This window comes from Homo sapiens, chromosome 9, assembly GCF_000001405.40.
Source record: "Homo sapiens chromosome 9, GRCh38.p14 Primary Assembly".
NCBI lineage: Eukaryota > Metazoa > Chordata > Mammalia > Primates > Hominidae > Homo > Homo sapiens.
The window spans coordinates 6,847,342-6,868,773 of NC_000009.12; the positions used below are offsets into that span (position 1 = coordinate 6,847,342).

Here is a 21,432-nt window from a genome sequence, read left to right on the forward strand (position 1 = left end):
TACATAATGTGATTGAACTTCTATGAGGTCTGAAAAGTTGGAACCTAGGATCTTCTCTTTTTTTGTTTTTTTTTTGAGACGGAGTCTTGCTCTGTCGCCCAGGCTGGAGTGCAGTGGCACGATCTCGGCTCACTGCAAACACCTCCCGGGGCCGTTCTCCTGCCTCAGCCTCCCGAGTGGCTGGGACTACAGACGCCCGCCACCAGGCCTGGCTAATTTTTTGTATTTTTAGTAGAGACAGGGTTTCACCGTGTTAGCCAGGATGGTCTCGATCTCCTGACCTCATGATCCACCCGCCTCGGCCTCCCAAAGTGCTGGGATTACAGGCGTGAGTCTCCGCGCCCGGCCGGATCTTCTCTAAACGGATACTTTGACCAGTTTCCAAATAACAAGCTTCTCAGCGTGTGGCCTAAGTTGTAGATAGAGTGGCTACTTAAGAGAATTTGGGAATTAAATTATGTCCTTTGGCATGTTCAGTTATGTTACCTGAGTCAGAGTTTCATTAGCTGCTTCATCAATAGTTTTTTAACCCCAAAGCTTTAGACAGTAAGATTAACACACTGATTAGAAAATCATTTAAAGACCAAAATGAAAACAGAACAACTCTAAAAGCTTTTAGTGTGTTCAGGAAATGTTAGAAGTGGTTGTATGTGAAGCCATTGGTATAGTTATTGGAGAGGACAATTTTGGTAGACATAGATGAATTTAATACCCTCAATTTTTTATTTTTAAAATAGACATGGGGTCTTGCCATGTTTCCCAGGCTGGTCTTGAGCTCCTGGGCTCAAGTGATCTGCTTTCCTCAGCCTCCCAAAGTGCTGGGATTACAGGCGTGAGCCACTGCACCTGGCCAATGCGCTTCTCTAATAGTGCATTAGCACGAAAAGGTTGGAATGGCTTTAAAGGCATTTCAGTTTCCCCATGATTACACAGGAACATGCCTAGTCTCTGATATTTAGAATTTGATAAAAATATATGGTAAAAATGCATAGTTTGTAAAAATTTCTAAGCAGTTGTGAACTGTAGTCAATTCATGAGTGATTGGCCGGGTGTGGTGGCTCACGCTTGTAATCTCAGCACTTTGGGAGGCCGAGGTGGGCAGGTCACTTGAGGCCAGGAGTTCGAGACCAGCCTAGGCAACATGGCGAAACTCCTGTCTCTACTCAAAATACGAAACATTAGGTGGGTGCGGTGGCCTACGCCTGTAGGTCCAGCTGTGTGGAAGGCTGAGGCATAAGAATTGCTCGAACCTGGGAGGTAGAGGTTGCGGTGAGCTGAGATTGCACCACTGCACTCCAGCCTGGGCGACAGAGTGAGACTGTCTCAGGGGAAAAAAAAAAAATGATTGTTAAGTTCTAATCAAACCAGAATCTTTTCCTATCACCTTAACTCTTATAGTAGTGACTCTAACCTTCCCTCGCTCTGCCATCACCATCCATATTGTTATACTGTTATAAAACTACATTATTCCAGCAGTTTTACCAAAGTTGGGATAAGTATTTTTAATAGGCATTATGTGTTTAAATTTTTCCATTAACATAAGAGGTAAATATTTATTTGAAGCATCAGTAGAAGCACAGTGATCAGTGGATACTGCCAAGAGTTTTTCCAATAATTAGAGTGGAACTTTAAGGAAACAATGTATTACATGCTAAGATTGAATGGATAGGGATGGGAGAGAGATAGCAGAAGATATATTTTGCTGTTGGTTTCTTGATGTGATATGTGATGGTGAATATTACCTCTAAACTAATGTGCAAAAAAATCCCAAGAAAACCCAAATCTCAAAACCCCAAAAACAAAAAGGTGTGCCAAGGAGGGAGAGCACATGCCGGATCATCTACTTTGAATCAGTAATTTTTTGCTGACAGCCAAGTTGGGAGTGGGTCTGTAACTTTCATTTCCATTTGGCATCAGGAAGCTATTTGGTATAAATTTCTACCAGATAGTTGTATGGAACCACATTATGCTGGTAGTAATCTTTGACCAATAATAATGGACATATGTATGTGGCTCTTGAATAAGAGTTGTTTTATTTTTCAGTTTTCAGTTAGTTAGAATATACAATGTAATAATTTTGGTGGATAGTGGTTTGATTAGTAAATGCTATCTTTCATGGTTTAGTAAGATTTGATTTCTCTCTCTTTTTTTCTCTCTCATTCCAGGGTGTGGATGAATGGAACATAGCTCGCCTCAATACAGTCTTGGATGTGGTTGAAGAAGAGTGTGGCATTTCTATTGAGGGTGTAAATACCCCATATCTCTATTTTGGCATGTGGAAGACCACGTTTGCATGGCACACCGAAGACATGGACCTCTATAGCATTAATTATCTCCACTTTGGAGAGCCCAAGTCTTGGCAAGTTACTTGTTTAATATTCATTTACTTTGGAGTTTTGAAATTTGGGCATCAGGCACATATTGAAGAGGATTTTGTTCTTTGATTTGGTGGATTCAGATTTATGTGAGCTGTAAGGAAGTTTTTGACTGTAATAGTTAATTGTCTTCTATTCTGTCTGGGATTGTGCTTGGAAACCATAAACCCCATGGTAACTCGTACAGTCATGCACTGTATAACAATGTTTAGATCAATGATGGACCACAGATACAACGGTCATCCTGAGTTTATAATGCAATTGAAAAATTCTTTTTCCATGTTTAGATATGTTTAGCTAAATGAATACTTTGTAGCTAAATACTTTGTGTTAAAATTGCCTACAATATTTAGTTCAGTACAGGTTTGTAGCCTAGAAGCAATAAGCTATGCCATATAGCCTAGGTCTGTAGTAGATCCACTATCTAGATTTGTGTAAGTCCACTCCATGATGTTCACACAATGGCGAAATTGCCTAACAACATATTTCTCAGAAACTATCACTGTTATTAAGTGATGCATGACTGTATATGTAAAGTTGCCTGTAGTCCATTTTGTGAACCATGAATTGATAAATATTTTAGGCTTCAAGAATTTATTGGGCATCTTTACTTTGAGCATTTGTTGGATGGTATGTAGGAGGTAGTTAGGAGTGAAGAGCTGACTTCCTGGGTGTAGTTTCAAACCATCTTCATGATCTTCTGGTTCATCCTCCTCTAATTATTTTTATTTTATTTTATTTTTTTTTGAGATGAAGTCTTGCTCTGTCGCCCAAGCTGGAGTGCAGTGGCGCGATCTTGGCTCACTGCAACCTCCGCTTCCTGGGTTCAAGCAATTCTGCTGCCTTAGCCACCCAAGTATCTGGGATTAGAGGCCCAGCTAATTTTTTGTATTTTAGTAGAGACAGGGTTTCACCATGTTGCCCAGGCTGGTCTTGAACTCCTGAGCTCAGGCAGTCTGCCCACCTTGGCCTCTCAAAGTGGTAGGATTACAGGCATGAGCCACCACACCCAGCCAATGTATTTTTTATTTTTTATTTCTATTTATTTATTTTTTCGAGACAGGGTCTCACTCTGTTGCCCAGGCTGGAGTGCAGTGGTGCGATCTCGGCTCACTGCAACCTCCACCTCCTAGGTTCAAGCGATTCTCCTGCCTCAGCCTCCCGAGTAGCTGGGATGACAGGCGTGTGCCACCACGCCTGGCTAATTTTTGTATTTTTAGTAGAGATGGGGTTTCACCATGTTGGCCAGGCTGGTCTCGAACTCTTGACCTCAGGTGAGCCACCCTCCTTGGCCTCCCAAAGTGCTGAAATTACAGGCGTGAGCCACCACGCCTGGCCAAATGAAACTTTTTAATAGGTGGTCTAGGACTCATACAGGCTCCAGTGACAAGAGAATGTGATCGGATTATTCATTACTCAGATGTTTATTTGTTATTACTTTTTGTAGAGATGGAGTCTTAGTGTGTTGTCCAGGCCGGTGCTGACCTCCTGGGCTCAAGTGATCCTGCTGCCTCAACCTCCCAAAGTGCTGGGATTACAGGTGTGAGCCACTGCACCCAGCACTCAGGTGTTATTTGTGGGCCTGGTTTGAGCACATGCTTAAGGACAGGGATCTCTGTTGTGTTTGTACAGCATTACTGTAAAGTTTGTTGGAATGTCATCTTTTAGTTTTTTCAGAACTTAGCTTGGAGAGACTAGGAGAAATATTTTCAACAATGGTTAGGCTCCTGGACAGTTTCTCAGCTGCTTTGTTATCTTGATGCTCTTTCTGACATTCACTTAAAGTGTGGATAAAATTGAATGAAATGGGTGAATTCAACATGTTAATAAAATCTAGTATGTAGGCAACTACATACTATGTCTTGCTTAAGAAATCTGAAAAGTTAGTAGCAAAACTTTTCTGGGGATTTGTTAAGGAATTAATAAATGAGGATGCCTGGGACGTTAATTTGAGTTTTCAGTATTAGGAAAGTTTAAATGAAGTGTCTGCTTTCTAATTAAGAAAGATGGCTGTCTTGTCTTCTCCTGGGAACAGGTTGATGTTGTCTCCTAATGATCACTTCAGGAAGAATATTCTGGTCAGGGCTAAGATGGATTCTGGTGTCTTGTGTCTTTGGGAAAGAGCATCACTAATCATGAGTGAGAATAATTATGCCCATTTTCAAAGTATTTCTTTCTTGCAGCTTGTATATGTGCAGTAGTTAATTACTCTATTAGTTATTAAGTATACAGCCTCCATCAGACGCATTAAGAGTAGATTTATACTGTCACTATTATCCTTAACCTTGGCCATTGTTTATAATGATAAAATAATAAAATGTAGTAGTGAGTTGTAACACTGATTCTACATACTATTTCCTAAGATAACTACTGTAGGAAGAGAGTGTTATAAATGCCCCTACAGATATTTTCTAGTAGATGTATGAAATATTACATTTCCTCAGCATAAATAATTTTGAGGTAAACTTTGTCATTATTAAAATTCATTTTAGCAATCCTTATAATATATTTGAGGTGAGCTTTGAAAGATGTTAGAAGCAACACAAATTCATGGAAGTATTTGGAGGCAGGCGGTTTGGCAGAGCTTAGGACACGAGGGCCCAGTAATCAGGGCTGTAGTCTTTATTATGCACTAGTGCATGTGGCTTTGGGCAAATAACTCTGCTTGTCTGGACTCCAGTTCCTTCACTCCCCCAAGTCACAAGGTTAGCCAGAATGACCTCCAGTCATTCTGATTCTGTGACTCATGATCAGAGTCACAGGAATATTTTTATTGAGTTGACAAAACGAGAGGATGAAGGGCTGCAAGGTTCTGTATGCACATGTGGGTGCGTGTGCACCAGCGTCCTCTTCTGCCTGTCCTCTCCTTGTTGAGCTGTATCTCCCCTTCAGTATGGGATGGTTGCCTTTACTTTTCTCTAGTGGGTGGCCTCTCCTGTGCTTGACATATCTGTCACTATATTGTTTTCTCTTCTGTCTCTGACCTTATAGGTTGGCATTTCAAGTCTACTCCTTCCTCTTGAATTCTACCTCCAGGTACCAGGCTCTGGATGGGATTATTGCAAAGACTGCCTACGATTCCCTCCTTACTTACGGGCCCATGCTGCTCTCATCTGTCCATGTTTCACTTAGGGTTTGCTTAAAGACTCTCTGGACTATGTGCTGCCCCTACTTTAGACATTGTTTTGGCATCTTACAACTGGTTGTGGCCACCCCTCCTGCCATCTCCCTCATTTTCCCACCTCCTTTCTCCCCGACCATCCTCCAGCTTGCCTGTGTGTGCCTTGAAGTTAAGGTCCATGGTTTTGTTTTTTTTGTGTGTGTTTTTTTTTCACCTTTGAATCATCAGCACTTAACACACAGGGCCTGGCTATAGGAGCGATGCCCTGTAAAGAATTGTTGTATTGAATTAGAAGAGTGTTAAATTATTTTAGATCCATCTCTTTAAGGGCAGGCATGGAAACTTTTAATAAAAAAGATTCTTTTCTAGCCCAGGTGCGGTTGCTCATGCCTATAATCCCAGCACTTTGGGAGGCCAAGGTAGGCGGATCACTTGAGCCCAGGAGTTCAAGACCAGCCTGGGCAACATGGCAAAACTGTTTCTACAAAAAAAAAAAATAAGAAAATTAGCCGGTCATAGTGGCTCACGCCTGTAGCCCCAGCTGATCGGAAGGCTGAGGTGAGAGGATGACCTGAGCCCGGGGAGGTCAAGGCTGCAGTGATCCGAGGTGGTGCCACTGCATTCCAGCCTGGACAACGGAGGGAGACACTGTCTCAAAGAATAAAAAAATAAATAAAAATAAAAGCCTAAAAGGTAACTATTAAGAATACTAAGTTTCCTGAGTTGCTATACATAGGAGACATACATTTCTAGCTACCGTGTGTGGCAGGTTTGCGGAGTAAGTGTTCATGAACACAGGTTTGTACTGAAGAGACTTCAAAGCAGCTGATGATTTATTTGAACATTTCTGGTTGAAGGTTTAGGGGGAAAAGTATCCTTAGAGTAAGCAGATAGAAAACTGCTTTGACAGTCAGTGGTAAAGTATTATTTTCTTGGAATGAATATTGACTTTGGAGCCAGAAGTCCTGTTTTAAAACCCCAATCTGTCACTTACTGGGAATGACTTAGGGCAAATCACTACACTCCTTTCATCATGAGTTTCTTTCACTGCCAAATGGAGGCATGATTTATTCTCTGTCTACTTAAGGGATATCTAGGAGGGTCCAGGTATATACTGTGTATAAATGCTTTGTAAACTGTAAAGTATTATACAAATACTCATAATTACTATTATTTTAATAACCATGAAAATAATTTTTTTTTAGTCATAGTAGTTACTTAAAGTCTGAACTTGGCCATAATGTATGTATTTATAATAGAATAGGAGTTTCAGTGATTAAAAAAAAATGTGATTCTCCCTTCCAAGCCTCTTGTGTGAGTGCTTAACTGCTAGAGGATATAGAATTCAGATGGTATCTTGAGTCTTTCTTTCCCAGACTGGGTACAAACAAAATGAATAAGAAACTTTCGACTGGGTGCGGTGGCTCACGCCTGTAATCCCAGCACTTTGGGAGGCCGAGGCGGGCGGATCACCTGAGGTCAGGAGCTCGAGACCAGCCTCAACATGAAGAAACCCCGTCTCTACTAAAAATACAAAATTAGCCGGGTGTGGTGGTACATGCCTGTAATCCCAGCTACTCGGGAGACTGAGGAAGGAGAATTGCTTGAATCTGGGAGGCGGAGGTTGAGGTGAGCTGAGATCGCGCCATTGCACTCCAGCCTGGGCAACAAGAGCGAAACTCCGTCTCAAAAAAAAAAAAAAAAAAAACAAAAAAAAAACTAACTTTCAAATTTACTCTGTAGAGAACAAGGGAGATAAGGTGTAAGAGGATGTGTTTTAAGCTGTGAAAAGGTCTAAAATCAGGAAAGGTTTTCCTGAAGGTTTTTAGAAAATTAAGAATGGGTTGTAGCATTTTGGACATTGTTAAATTTCATTCAGTAAACTGAGATTTTGTTAAAATACTGTGTAGCAGTTAAGAAGTATCCAATTATTCAGGATAGATACACATTAGTTCAATGCTTTCTCATTAGAACTTTTGATCAGTGTTGTGTAGTACTTACCAGCACAGGTTTTTGTGTCAGTCTTGAGTTTTGCAAAACTCTTTACTCTTTACTGAGCATGTGACCTTGGGCAATTATTAAATAACCTCCATGCCTCAATTTTCTCTCCTAAAATACTCAGATGGTTTTGGCACCCACCTTGTAAGGCAATTGTGTGGATTAAATAACATGCTATGTACAAAGTACATATCACAGCTGGAGATGTAACACAGTGCTCAATAGATGTTAACGTTTCATACATTCATTTAGCAAATATATGTTGTATGTATACATGGCATGAAGTGTTTTAAACATGAACTTCATAAATTTGTATTAATAAGTGTTCTTGGTTATAAATGACAGCCAGGCGCTGAGGCTCATGCCTGTAATCCCAGCACTTTGGGAGGCTGAGGCGGGCAGATCACGAGGTCAGGAGTTCGAGACTAGCCTGGCCAACATAGTGAAACCGCATCTGTACTAAAAATACAAAAATTAGCTGGGCATGGTGGTGCATGACTGTAGTCCCAGCTACTCGGGAGGCTGAGGCAGGAGAATCACTTGAACCCAGGAGGCAGAGGTTGTGGTGAGCCGAGATTGCGTCACTGCACTCCAGCCTGGGGAACACAGTGAGACTCCGTCTCAAAAAAAAAAAAAAAAAAAAAAAAAAAGGAACCCAATTTAAGTATAACGGATTTTTCCCAGTGTTTGTAGTTGGGATAAACCAGAGGCATGGCTCAGTCTAGGAAATCAGATGCTCCCATTGGATGTCTGTCTCAGCCTTTCCCTTTATTTCTCCCTCCCTCCACTCTCTTCTATTCACCTTACCCCTATCTCTTCCTGTCCTTTCTCCTCTCCATTCCTTCTTTCTCCCTTTGGTCTAGAAGAGAGAAGCTGCTTACTTACAACTAATTACTTGATTATTGTTGAATTATATAATTCAAGTCTTACTTTTTAAAAGAATGAGCAAGTTATATGGTGCCAAATTGATCTAAGCTTGTTTAATGTACATCTCCATTAAAATGTGAGCTCTGGGAGTTGGGGAGCCCCACTATTCATTCATTCATTCGTTCATTCATTTATTATGTGGTTTAAATTTTCTTTTTTATAGAGATGGGGTCTCGCTGGGTTGCCCAGGCTGGCCATGAACTCCTGGGTTCAAGTGGTCCTATTGTGTCTGCCTCCCAAAGTGCTGGGATTATAGGCGTGAGTCACCATTCCTGGCCCCACCAGTCTTTTAACTAGCATGCCTCTAGTGCCTGGCACAGCATTTGGCATGAGCCTGGCACTTGGTAGGTACTCAGTAAACATTTGCTCAGTGAACAGTCTTACTGAAGGAACTCTTTATTTGAAGATCAAAAAAAAAAAAATCTAAGAACATTAGGGATTAGGCAGCTTGATAGTATTTAGTGATCCATTGAATTAGCAGCCCATGGTAATAACTCATACTTGTTAATTTTTCTATTTAGTAACTTTAGACCCAGTAATATGTTCTAATTTCAAATGTTAAGACTTACTGGATGGTGTAAAGCTGCATTATTTTGCTATTTTGTCTAGAAAAAATGCACTTAGAATTAACCATGGTTCATTTTGGTTTTAATTGCTTTTTCTAGAGAAATTTGCCCTTTACATAAGAAAATACTTTTAGAAATACTCTTAAGTTGAAGTAATAAAATTAACCGCATAGGTTATTGATTAGTTTTAGGCATATCTCTCTCTGTGTGCGTGTGTGTGTGTGTGTGTGTGTGTGTGTGTGTGTGTGTGTGTATTTTTTTTTGAGACAGAGTCTCACTCTGTTTCCCGGGCTGAATGCGGTGTTGCGATGATGGCTAACTGCAGCCACAACCTCCTGGGCTCAAGTGATCCTCCCACTTCAGCCTCCCAGGTAGCTGGGACTACAGGTGTGTGCCACTATGCCAGGCTAATTTTTGTATTTTTTTTTTTTTTTTTTTTTGAGACGGAGTCTCGCTCTGTCGCCCAGGCCGGACTGCGGACTGCAGTGGCGCAATCTCGGCTCACTGCAAGCTCCGCTTCCCGGGTTCACGCCATTCTCCTGCCTCAGCCTCCCGAGTAGCTGGGACTACAGGCGCCCGCCACCGCGCCCGGCTAATTTTTTGTATTTTTAGTAGAGACGGGGTTTCACCGTGTTAGCCAGGATGGTCTCGATCTCCTGACCTCATGATCCATCCGCCTCGGCCTCCCATAATTTTTGTATTTTTGTAGAGATGGGATCTTCCTATGTTGAGCCTTCCTAGGCTGGTTTTACACTCCAGGGCTCAATCAATCCTCCTGCCTTGGCCCCCCGAAGTCCTGGGATTATAGGCATGAGCCACCATGCCTGGCCATTGTATGTTTCAAAGATAGTATTGTTACTTTGGGAGGCCAAGGCAGAAGGATTGCTCAAGCCCAGGGGTTCGAAACCAACCTGGTTAACATAGGGACACCCTGTATCTACCAAAAACAAAACAAACAAAAACAAACCCCAAAACAGAAAAGATAATATTGCTAATAAAATTTAAAAAGTGTTGGAAATATACCAAAAAGTATGGTATTAGCTTTGTACATAGCTGCTAGCTATATTTGTAAGAAGAAGAGAATACAGTGCTAACTGGTAGTAAAATATTTATTGATCAAGTGGATCACATACCACTCTAGCACACACCCACTTGCTTGCAGCCCCAAAACATTGATCTCTGTGGACCACTGCTCAGCACAGAATTCCCTAAAGGAACCATCCAGGATATCTAGTGTTTGTGAGTTGGAAAGTCTCACTCTTTTTTCCTGAAGTGTTGAGATTTTACTAATTAATTGATTGGTAACTGGATTGTTACCGATCAAGTTTAACGTTGGTACTTTGATGATGAAATTATGAACTGGAACTAATCCTAATAATGTCAGTCAACGTGCAAAGCAAATAGTTTTCCAGAGTAGCCAGCTGTACTTTTTTTTTTTTTTTTTAAGACAGGGTCTCGCTCTGTTGCTCAGATTGGAGTGCAGTGGTGCAATCTTGGCTCACTGCAACCTCTGCCTCCCGGGCTCAAGCGATCCTCCCACCTCAGCCTCCTGAGTAGCTAGGACTACAGGTGCATGTTAACACATCTGGCTAAGTTTTTTTTTTTTTTTTTTTTTTTTAGAGATGGGGTTTTGCTATGTTGCCCAGGCTGGCCTGGAACTCCTGAGCTAAGGCAGTCTACCCACGCAGTCAGTCATAGCTCATTGTAGCCTCAAACTCCTAAGCTCAAGCACTCTTCCTGCCTTGGCTTCCCAAAGTCCTGGATTACAGGTTTGAGCCACTATGCCTGGCAGTAACCTGCTATATTGATGGTAGATTTAAAGGAATGAATTGAAGAAACAGAAGACTCAGGGCAAAATCTTACCCATTGTGAGAATCCCTTTTCTACCTGCTTTTGCTTATTTTGTTATTAGCAATGTTCCAAATTTGCATATTAATGAATTACTGCTCAGTAAGGGCGTGTAAATTCCCCTTAGGATGCTTGCTGAATCTTTTTTGCTACTCTTTTAGTTACACCACCACCACCACCACGACCACCACCACCTACAACATTGACATCCCTTCAAATGAAAAGAAATTGTTAAATCCATAACTCTAGGGAAAAACCAGAATGTTTACCCAACTTTCTTTATTGTGTACTTCATGGAAAGCAAGCATTAATGCTGTTCACCTCGCAAATTACTGTGTTAGGGCTGGGCATGGTTGGGAGGCCTAGGTGGGCGGATCATTTGAGACCAGGAGTTCAAGACCATCTTGGCCAACATAGCAAAACCCTCTGTCTACTAAATATGAAAAGTTAGCCGGGTGTGGTGACGTGCGCCTGTAATCCCAGCTACTCAAGAGGCTGTAGCATGAGAATCGCTTCACCTGGGAGGTGGAGGTTTCAGTGAGCCAACATCGTGTCACTGCACTCCAGCCTGGGTGACAGAGTGATTTTGTCTCCCCCCCCGGCAAAAAAAAAAAATTACTATGTTAGTAGTTAACAAGTTATTTTACCCAGCTTTATCATTTTTTTGGTATCTCTTTTTTTTTTTGTTTTCACACACTACTTAATGTCATTGTTTAGATTGGAGTTGGTAGAAAATGCATGCAATTTAATATTTGTTATGCAAAAATTGTTATTTGCCCATAGTATATAGGAAAGTGGCTTTTTTCATGATTGCATTTCTAAAGCTAGGATTACAAATAGATTTATAAATGTTCCGTTGTTACTGCACATGTGTTCATTTTTTATAAGCTTGCTTTTTAGTTAGTAGGGTTTGAACAAGGTTGTAAAGTGTGTTGTCTTTGGTGACTCCATTTCATTTAGTGAAGTCCTTTGATGTTTGCCAGGAACCATACTAATCACTGTTAGAAATCATCTCTGGTGGCCGGGTACGGTGGTTCATGCCTATAATCCCAGCACTTTGGGAGGCCGAGGCAGGCAGATCACGAGGTCAAGAGATCAAGACCATCCTGGCCAACGTGGTGAAACCCTGTCTCTGCTAAAACACAAAAATTAGTTCGACGTAGTGGCCCACGCCTGTAGTCCCAGCTACTCGGGAGGCTGAGGCAGGAGAATCACTTGAACCAGGAAGGTGGAGGTTACAGTGAGCTGATATCACGCCACTGCACTCCAGCCTGGCGACAGAGCGGGACTCTGTCTCAAAAAAAAAAAAAAAAAAAAAAAAGAAATCGTCTCTGGTAACACAGACGACAGATGTCTCAAGTAGGTGGATTTTTTTTTTTTTTGCCCCATTTTAAAACTGAGGACTGGCTGGGCGCGGTGGCTCACGCCTGTAATCCAGCACTTTGGGAGGCCCAGGCGGGCAGATCGCGAGATCCGGAGATCGAAACCATCCTGGGTAACATGGTGAAACCCCGTCTCTACTAAGAATAATAAAAAAAATTTAGCCGGGCGTGGTTGCAGGCGCCTGTAGTCCTAGCTACTCGGGAGGTGGGGCAAGAGAATGGCGTGAACCTGAGATGCGGAGCTTGTAGCAAGCCGAGATCGTGCCACTGCACTCCAGCCTGGGCGACACAGCGAGACTCCGTCTCAAAAAAAAAAAAAAAAAGACTCAGAATTATTTAGAGTCTTAAAGGTTTATCTAGTTATTAATAAGTCTTGCAGTTGGGATTCAGACTATTAACTGATTTTTCCTATAGCTTTAAGGAGAAAAGAAAAGAGTAAAGATGAAGGAGTAGGCAAGAAGAAAGCCTCCCTGTGTTTCTTTTTACACCATCAACTTTCTTTTAATTAGATTTTATGCAGAACTAAAAGAGAAACGTGCTCCTCATTTTGGGGGGCCAGACTGTGGCATAAGAAAGATTTTCAGAGGGCTGTAATGTGGCTAGATTCTAATCTTGTGATAATTGACAGGTGATGGGGATGGGGGGGCGTTTGGAGGTGTAGGTAGGAGAAATGTCTGAACCAACACCGTTTGTTTGCCACCTAAGGTTCTTTCTTTAGATGTGTTACTTGGAAACATTCTTGAAGTCAGAAAGAAAACCCCACATTTGAAGGATTGAGTTATGTCTTGACGGAGGGTTTTGTTTCTCTCTAGGGAATAGTTGGTGATTTTTAATTAGACTATACTTAGATTCTGACCCCTTTGGCAAAGTACATTGACAGAAGCTAGTCAGTCCTTGTCAGGAGTTAAGTGTACTTTATCTGTCTAACCTATCAGATAAATAACTACTGGGTACTAGGCTTAATACCTGGGTGATGAAATTATCCCTACAACCAACCCCCATGACATGAGTTTACCTGTATAACAAACCTTCACATATGCCTGCAATCCTAAAATAAAAGTAAACAAACAAAAAAAGATTTGCTAGGACTGTGAGAAGAGACATAGAGTCTGAGCCCAGCTTCTGAAGGCTGTAACACAGTCCTCTTTAGTCTTGCAGTAGTACAGAGCAAATAGTTTTTACATTAAAGTTAGTGTGTTTTTCCATGTGTTACTTGGAATGTATTTTAATTCATGTTAAAATGATCTCAACATTGTGTTTCTCTAGATTGAGAATACTTTTTTGAGATTGTCTGGGCTCCTTGCTTAAAATCTTATGAAGGTTGATTAACTTACCCCAACTAACTCCTTTTTTGTAAAAGTGTCAAAAATGAAAAACTGAGGATATTTAAGATGGAATATATCTATATATAATATTACAGTTATTAAAAATGTATGTTTGCTTAAGTTATTGTAAAAGCATTTCCAGCAAGTGATTGATAACTTTTACCCAAGGCACAGGCAGTAGGTGGAAATAAATCCCTGCACTGGACTTGAAACTAACACATCTATAATTTGTAAGTTTTTTTGGTCACTACTTGAACCAACATTGGTCTTTTTTCTTGTGATTTATATAGCTCTAATGGTCAGTTTTACTACTTTATTATGTTCTGTTCTCATAGAACTCTTCATTAATTTGTGTATTTTGGTCTTGTCTCTCCCATGAGATATTCAACTTCCTGAGAGCAGTGGTACATGTATCCTATTTTTGTGTGTTGACCAGGTATCACAACTTGTATGTCATAGATATGTGCAGTTTCATGCTTCTTTCAGCTGTTGTTAATCTAACATACTTTTAGCTTCTTAGGGATAAATATTACAAAGTCAGCCTATAGAATAGTACAGTCATGCATCCTGTGTGATGCCTTGATTAGAACTAGTCTGATATATAGGAAATTTTAGAATTATAGAAAACTGCTTATTAGAAATGTTCAGCCACTCTACCATATTTTGATTGTCAGTGATAATCACAGATTTATATTTGTTGCATAAGAGAAATCTACAGACAACATACCTCAAACTTAATATAGCCAATTGTCATGAATCTATCCCCTCCTCTCTTCCTCCCAGTGACTTATTATTTGTGTGGGCTTCATAGAGGATTTACTTATTTGAGGAATCATGCATAAAGTTTCTTGAACTCATGCATAAAGTTACTTTACAATATATATTTCTTTCTTTCTTTTTTTTTTTTCTCGAGATGGAGTCTTGCTCTGTTGCCCAGGCTGCAGTGCAATGGTGTGATCTCGGCTGTAACTGCTGCCTCCCAGGTCCAAGCGATTCTCCTGCCTCAGCCTTCCGAGTAGCTGGGACTACAGGCATGTGCCACCATGCCTGGCTAATTTTTGTATTTTTAGTAGAGATGGGGTTTTGCCGCGTTGGCCAGGCTGGTCTTGAACTCCTGACCTCAGGTGATTCACCTGCTTTGGCCTCCCAAAGTGCTGGGATTACAGGTGTGAGCCAACGCGCCTGACCTACAATATGTATTTCTGAGAGGACATAGCAGTCAATTGTATGATCTCTAATATAATTTTCTAATCAGAGACAGAAAACTTATTTAACAATTTTCCTTTAAGTGTGGTTAAAAAACTGAGTGGTTTTTGGGAAGATATTATACTTGAGAAAGGACTTGAATTAGTTGGGTTGCCTTTGTTGTCTTCATGTCTGATAAGTTATCTTACTGTGCCTACCTAATGAAGATTAACATTACTTATGAAATGTTTGATTTTAACAGAAACATTTGACCATTTACTGTTTATTTTTATTTTAATATTTCAGGCTTTGTGTATTTTTTTCAGTTTGCATGTTACTTGTAGTTTGGTTGCTTTGAATAAAGTGCACTTTTGAAAGCCTCTTAATTCTCAAGGAGATTTCCAACTGTAAAGAAGCTGTACAGGTAGTTTTCCCTTAAAGGCTAAACTTCAGGCTGGGTGTGGTGGCTCACAGCTGTAATCCCAGCACTTTAGGAGGTTGAGGTTGGTGGATCACCGGAGGTCAGGAGTTCGAGACCAGCCTGGCCAACATGGTGAAACCCCATCTCTACTAAAAATACAAAAACACATTAGCCAGGTGTGGAGGCACGTGCCTGTAATCCCAGCTACTCAGGAGGCTGAGGTGGGAGAATTGCTTGATCCCGGGAGGAGGAGGATGCAGTGAGCCGAGATCACGCCACTGTACTCCAGCATGGGTGACAGAGCGAGACTTTGTCTCAAAACAAACAAACAAACAAACAAACAAACAAACAAAAAACAAAAAAAAATTCAATCATAGGAAATCTTGAAAATGCTTCAGTACTTTGTTGGAGTTCATTGTGGTGGAACTTTATAAGCCAATTTTTATGGACCCCTTTAAGCCACTTTATCTTATTCATGGATGGTGTAATTATCATTTATTTATTTGTTTTCATTGATACATAATAGTTATACCTATTTTGGGGTACACATTTATATAATATATAAAGATCAAATCAGGGTAACTGGGATATCTGTTACCTTAAATATTTAAAGAGGTGACAACGTATACAGAAAAGAATAGAAACAAAATAAAAACAAAAAAACCCTGTGCTTTAACTCCCCCCCACCCCATGTTTTGATTTTTTGTTTTCTTAATTTACATGTTTTAATATTGCCTGCTTTTTAGTAGGTTGCTGTAGTTATTGTTTTTGAGATGTTTTTCTTTGGGGCTTCATACTGGAGTTATGTGTGGATTCCATCTGACTTTCCTTGTGTAGCTATGAAGGAATACCTGAGGCAGGGTAATTTATAAAGAAAAAAGATTTATTTGGCTCACAATTCTGATGTTTAGAAAAGTTCTGGATTAGGCTTCTGCATCTGGTGAGGGTCACATGTTGCTTCCATTCATGGTGGAAGTTGAAGGGAAGCCAGCATGTACAGAGATCACATGGTAAGAGAGAGAAGGGGCTGGGCACCATGGCTCACGGCTGTAATCCCAGCACTTTGGGAGGCGGAGGTGGGCGGATCACGAGGTCAGGAGATCGAGACCATCCTGGCTAACACGGTGAAACCTTGTCTCTACTAAAAATACAAAAAATTAGCCAGGCGTGGTGGCGGGCGCCTGTAGTTCCAGCTACTCAGAGGCTGAGGCAGGAGAATGGCGTGAACCTGGGAGGCAGAGCTTGCAGTGAGCCGAGATCTTGCCACTGCCTCCAGCCTGGGCGACACAGCGAGACTCCATCTCAAAAAAAAAAAAAAAAAAAGAGAGAGAGAAGGAAGGGAGGGCCAGGCTCTTTTTAACAGCCAGCTCATGGGAACTAATGGAGTGAGAACTCACCCATTACCGTGAAGATGGCACCAAGCTATTCATGAGTGATCCACCCCCATGATGGAAACACCTCCCATTAGGCCCCACCTCCAACATTGAGGATCAGCTTTCAACGTGAGGTTTAGAGGGGTCAAATATCAAACCATATCAATACCACTATTACAGTAATAGAGTATTCTGAATTTGTTCATGTACTTAATTTTAGTGGGTTTTGCATCTTTAAATGTTTTCTTCTTGCATGTTAGTGGGTTTTTTCCCCTCCCTGCTTCGTATTGAAGAATTCCCTTTAAGATTTCTTGTAAGATGGGTCTGGTGATGGCAAATTCTCTCAGCTTTCATTTATCTGGGAAGGACTTTATCACTCCTTTATGTTTGAAGGACAGCTTTGCTGGTTTCAGTATTCTTGGATGACAATCCCCATTTTTCAGCACTTTGAAAATGCCATCTCACTACTTCTTGGCCTATATGATTTCATTGAGAGATCTGTTGCCAGGCCAGTTAGATAGAGTTCCTTTATATGTCATTGCTTCTTTTCTCTTCCTGTTTTTAAGATCCTTTCTTTATCTTTGACCTTTGAGAAATTTATTATATGCCTTGGGGTAATCTTATTTGGGTCATATCTGTTTGGTGATCTCTAACTTTTCTATACCTGGTGTGATCTCGGCTCACAGTAACCTCTGCCTCCCAGTTTCAAGCAATTCTGCTGCCTCAGCCCTCCATAGCTGGGATTACAGGCATGTGCCAACATGCCCAGCTAATTTTTTTTTTTAAATTTATTTTATTTATTTATCTTTTTCTAGTTTTGGAAAGTTTTCTGTTGTTATTTCTTTGAGTAAGCTTTCTACTCCTTGCTCTTGCTCAGTTCCCCCTTGAACAGAAGTAATTCTTAGATTTGGTCTTTAGTGGTAATTTTCTATATCTTGTTGGCAATCTTTTTTTTTAATTTATTTTTTTTCTCCTGTGTCTATGTATGTGCCTGTCTTCAAGCTTACTGTTTCTTTCCTCTGCTTGATCAATTCTGCTGTTGAGAGCCTCTGATTAATTTTTTAGTTCAGCAAATGTATTTCTTAGTCCCAAGATTTCTGTTTGATTTTTTAAAAATTATTTCAATCTCTTTGTTAAATTTCTTTCTTTTTTTTTTTTTTTTGTGAGATAGAGTCTTGCTCTATTGCCCAAGCTGGAGTGCAGTGACGCGATCTCGGCTCACTGCAAGCTCTGCCTCCCGGGTTCAAGCAATTCTCCTGCTTCAGCCTCCCGAGTAGCTGGGACTGCAGGTGCCCGCCACCACACCTGGCTAATTTTTTGTATTTTTAGTAGAGACGGGGTTTCACCGTGTTTGCCAGGATGGTCTCGATCTCCTGACCTCGTGATCCGACCGCCTTGGCCTCCCAAAGTTTTGGGATTACAAGCGTGAGCCAAAGTGCCCCGTCTTTGTTAAATTTCTTTGATAAATTCTTGAACTCCTTTTCTGTGTTATCTTGGAGATTACTGGTTTCCTTGAAAGTGCTATCTTGAATTCCTGATCAGAGAGCTTACATATAGCTATGTTATTAGGGCCAGTCAGTCACAGGTTTCTTGCTTTGTCCATTTGAGAAGGTCATGGTTCCCTGTTTGCTATTGTTTCTTGTGGATGTATGTCTATGACTTTGCGTTATTGTAGGCTTAGTTATTTATCTCAGTCTTCTCTCTTCTTTTTTCTTTCTTTTTGAGACAGAGTCTTGGTCTATCACCTGGGCTGGAGTTCAGTGGCGTGATCTCAGCTCACTGTAACCTCCGCCTCCCAGTTTCAAGCAATTCTGCTGCCTCAGCCCTCCGTAGCTGGGATTACAGGCATGTGCCACCATGCCTAGCTAATTTTTTTTTAATTTATTTTATTTATTTTTTTTTTTGTGCGACGGAGTCTCGCTCTGTCGCCCAGGCTGGAGTGCAGTGGCGCAATCTCTGCTCACTGCAAGCTCTGCTTCCCGGGTTCACGCCATTCTCCTGCCTCAGCCTCCCGAGTAGCTGGGACTACAGGCGCCCGCCACCACCATGCCTGGCTAATTTTTTGTATTTTTAGTAGAGACAGGGTTTCCCCGTGTTAGCCAGGATGGTCTCGATCTCCTGACCTTGTGATCCGCCCGCCTCGGCCTCCCAGAGTGCTGGGATTCACCGTGCCTGGCCACCCAGCTAATTTTTGTATTTTTAGTTAGAGACAGGGTTTCACCATGTTGAACAGGCTGGTCTCGGACTCCTGACCTCAGGTGATCCACCTGCCTTGGCCTCCCAACGTGCTGGGACTACAGGCATGAGCCACTGCACCCATCCTTTTTTTTTTTTGGTTACTATTAAATATGTCTACTTAGAGATTCTTATAATTTACCTTGGATTTATTTACCAAGGATATTCTTGACCCTTCTTTCTTTCTTTTCTTTTCTTTTTCTGCTAGGTTACTGTTTCCTTTTTGGTTCCAGATGGTGCCTTCAGCCCAGGTTTTCCTTAGCTCTAGTAAAGGATCAGAGTGCCCCCTGTCCTGAATGGGGTATTTTCCAAAGGGTGTGAGAGGGCTAGCTAGGGGTTCATTCCCAGGAGACCTGTGGGACAGACCTCCTACAGTGTAGCACTGCTGAGCTGCCACTCTGATTTGGCATCTCCGTTGGCTGAATTGCTGAGTTTCCAGGGCTGGGAATGGTATTCCTGCCATCGCTCTTTGTGTCTGGCTGTCTTGAGGGATATTTCTTTCTTCAGGTACTCCCAGTGCTTCCTACAGATTGAAGAAGGGACAGTGTCCTCCTAGGAAACCCACAATGGTGGGAAAGCTGGTTGTCCACCCTGATCTCTATTCTAGTGTAGAAACCGTGAGTGGGGGGTTTATTTTCTGCACACTTGACTTCAGGCAGATCAAAGGAAGGGGTGCTGAGGATATAGAAGTCTCTTATTCTCTTACTATTTGCTTGGAAGTTTTTTACTTCTCTGGGATCTGACTCCTCCTCATATTTGAGTTCTAGGAAATTGCTGGTGATGACTTGGTGCTGTATATATATATACATATATATATATATATATAGAAAAATGTATGTAAAAATGTATATATGTGTATATAAAAATATATGTTTGTGTGTGTGTGTGTGTGTGTGTGTGTGTATATATATATATATATATTTTTTTTTTTTTTTGGAAGATGGAATCTTGCTCTGTCACCAGGCTGGAGTGCAGTGGTGTGATCTCAGCTCACTGCAACCTCCGCCTGCCGGGTTCAAGCAATTCCCCTGCCTCAACCTCCCAAGTAGCTGGGATTACAGGCACACACCTACACACCCAGCTAATTTTTTGTATTTTAGTAGAGACGGGGTTTCACCATGTTGGCTAAGATGGTCTTGATCTCCTGACCTCGTGATCCGCCCACCTCGGCCTCTGAAAGTGCTGGGATTACAGGCGTGAGCCGCTGCGCCCGGCCAGTGCTGCATATTTGTTTTTGGTTTTCTGTGAAGGTTGTGGGAGGAGTGAATCCAGCTTGCTTCTATAGCACCATTTTGGTATCAGAAACCACAATTGATATTTGAATAAATGATCATTTGGAAAGAGTAATGTTCTCAGAAGATTCCTATATAAGGTAAGATTATTTTTTGTTGGGAAAAGTTTGCTTCAGAAAATTTTTGATATGGGCAGACAGCTTTATATGGGCATGTTTTTCATTTATCGTCAACTTCTTGTGTTCTTACATTTTAGAATCTTCTCGAAATGGCATCTTTCCCTGTTTTATTAATGCTTGATGCTGTTACAAAACATTGCATCTATGTTTGGTAATTTATGATTTTATATGTTTTTCCAATTTCTTCATTACTTACTGAGCACACACCTGTGTCAGGTATTGAGCTAGGTGTCAATAATACCATGAACATGTGAACTTGACAGAATGGCTTCTACTTATGAAACTTACTAACAGTTGACACACAAAGCTTTTAGCCCCTCCCCTGCACTTCCCCACTGTCTTTTATTGCAGTAGCAGAACGCTTGTGGGCAAAATTTCAGTGGAATTAAAATCTTACATGGAATCCAAATCTTACACAGAACCCTTATGTATCAACCAGAAAGAATGTTTTCTGTGATAGGTCCCTACTTTGGAAAAGCTTTAACACAGAGATTTTCAAAACTTTCTATACATGAAAGTTTCTGCAGAATCTCAATATTTAAAGCAGAAAACATAAGGCAGAGCTGATATGGATGAAATGTGTGGTGAGAAGCTTTCTCGCACCAAACCCTCCCTGGAGGCACCTTGTAGAGCTGAGGCCCTATGAAGACACCAGATAAAAAGCCCCCCGAGAGAAAGAACTCAGCTCGAGCTTTGCCTCTCCCTTACGCCACTGGTGGCCCATTTCCTGACAGAACGTTTAGGTGAACTAGAGACACTCTAGCAACCATACGTGCAGGCAGTCCTACGTGAGGAAACTTGAGGAAAATATCCTCACGTGAAGAGAGTTTCCGTAGGTAACATAGCATTCATCCCAGGAAACCCTGGGAACTTTGAGGTGTGCCATAAAAAGCAGTTTGAAAATCGGTTAACTGGATCACCGATTTGAGCCACCCCTCAGTATCCATGAACTGTTGGTTCCAGGTTCCATTCACAATACCAAAACCTGTGGCTGCTCACGTCCCTGATATAAAGTGCGTGGTAGTTACCCATGCACATCCTCCCCTATACTTTACATCATTTCTAGATTACTTGTAAGCCCTAATACAATGTTAATGCTATGTAAATAGTTGTTATCCCGAATTGTTTAGGGAATACTGACCAGAGAAACAGTTTGTACATGTTCAGTACAGACACGACCGTTTCCCCTCCACGTATTTTTGATCTGTGATTGGTTGACTCCATGGATGTGGGACTCTCGGTGTGGAGGGCTGACTGTACTAGAA

General features: G+C 41.3%; 1 protein-coding gene across 21 annotated transcripts in view; it reads left to right on the top strand.

Annotated features, from left to right (window-relative positions):
* KDM4C (lysine demethylase 4C) overlaps positions 1–21,432 on the top strand; it is a 454,786-nt gene that overhangs the window by 126,479 nt on the left and 306,875 nt on the right. For 20 of the 21 annotated variants that reach the window (NR_148680.3, NR_148679.3, NR_148677.3 and 17 more), the window contains one exon: positions 2,166–2,359. The exons of the other annotated variant lie outside the window; for it this stretch is intronic. Coding sequence is in view for 11 of the 20 variants with exons in the window: in NM_001146696.2 (NP_001140168.1) it covers positions 2,166–2,359 (194 nt within the window). In the remaining 9 variants the exon portion in view is untranslated. The remainder of the gene's footprint in view (positions 1–2,165; positions 2,360–21,432) is intronic. 21 annotated transcript variants of the gene reach the window in all.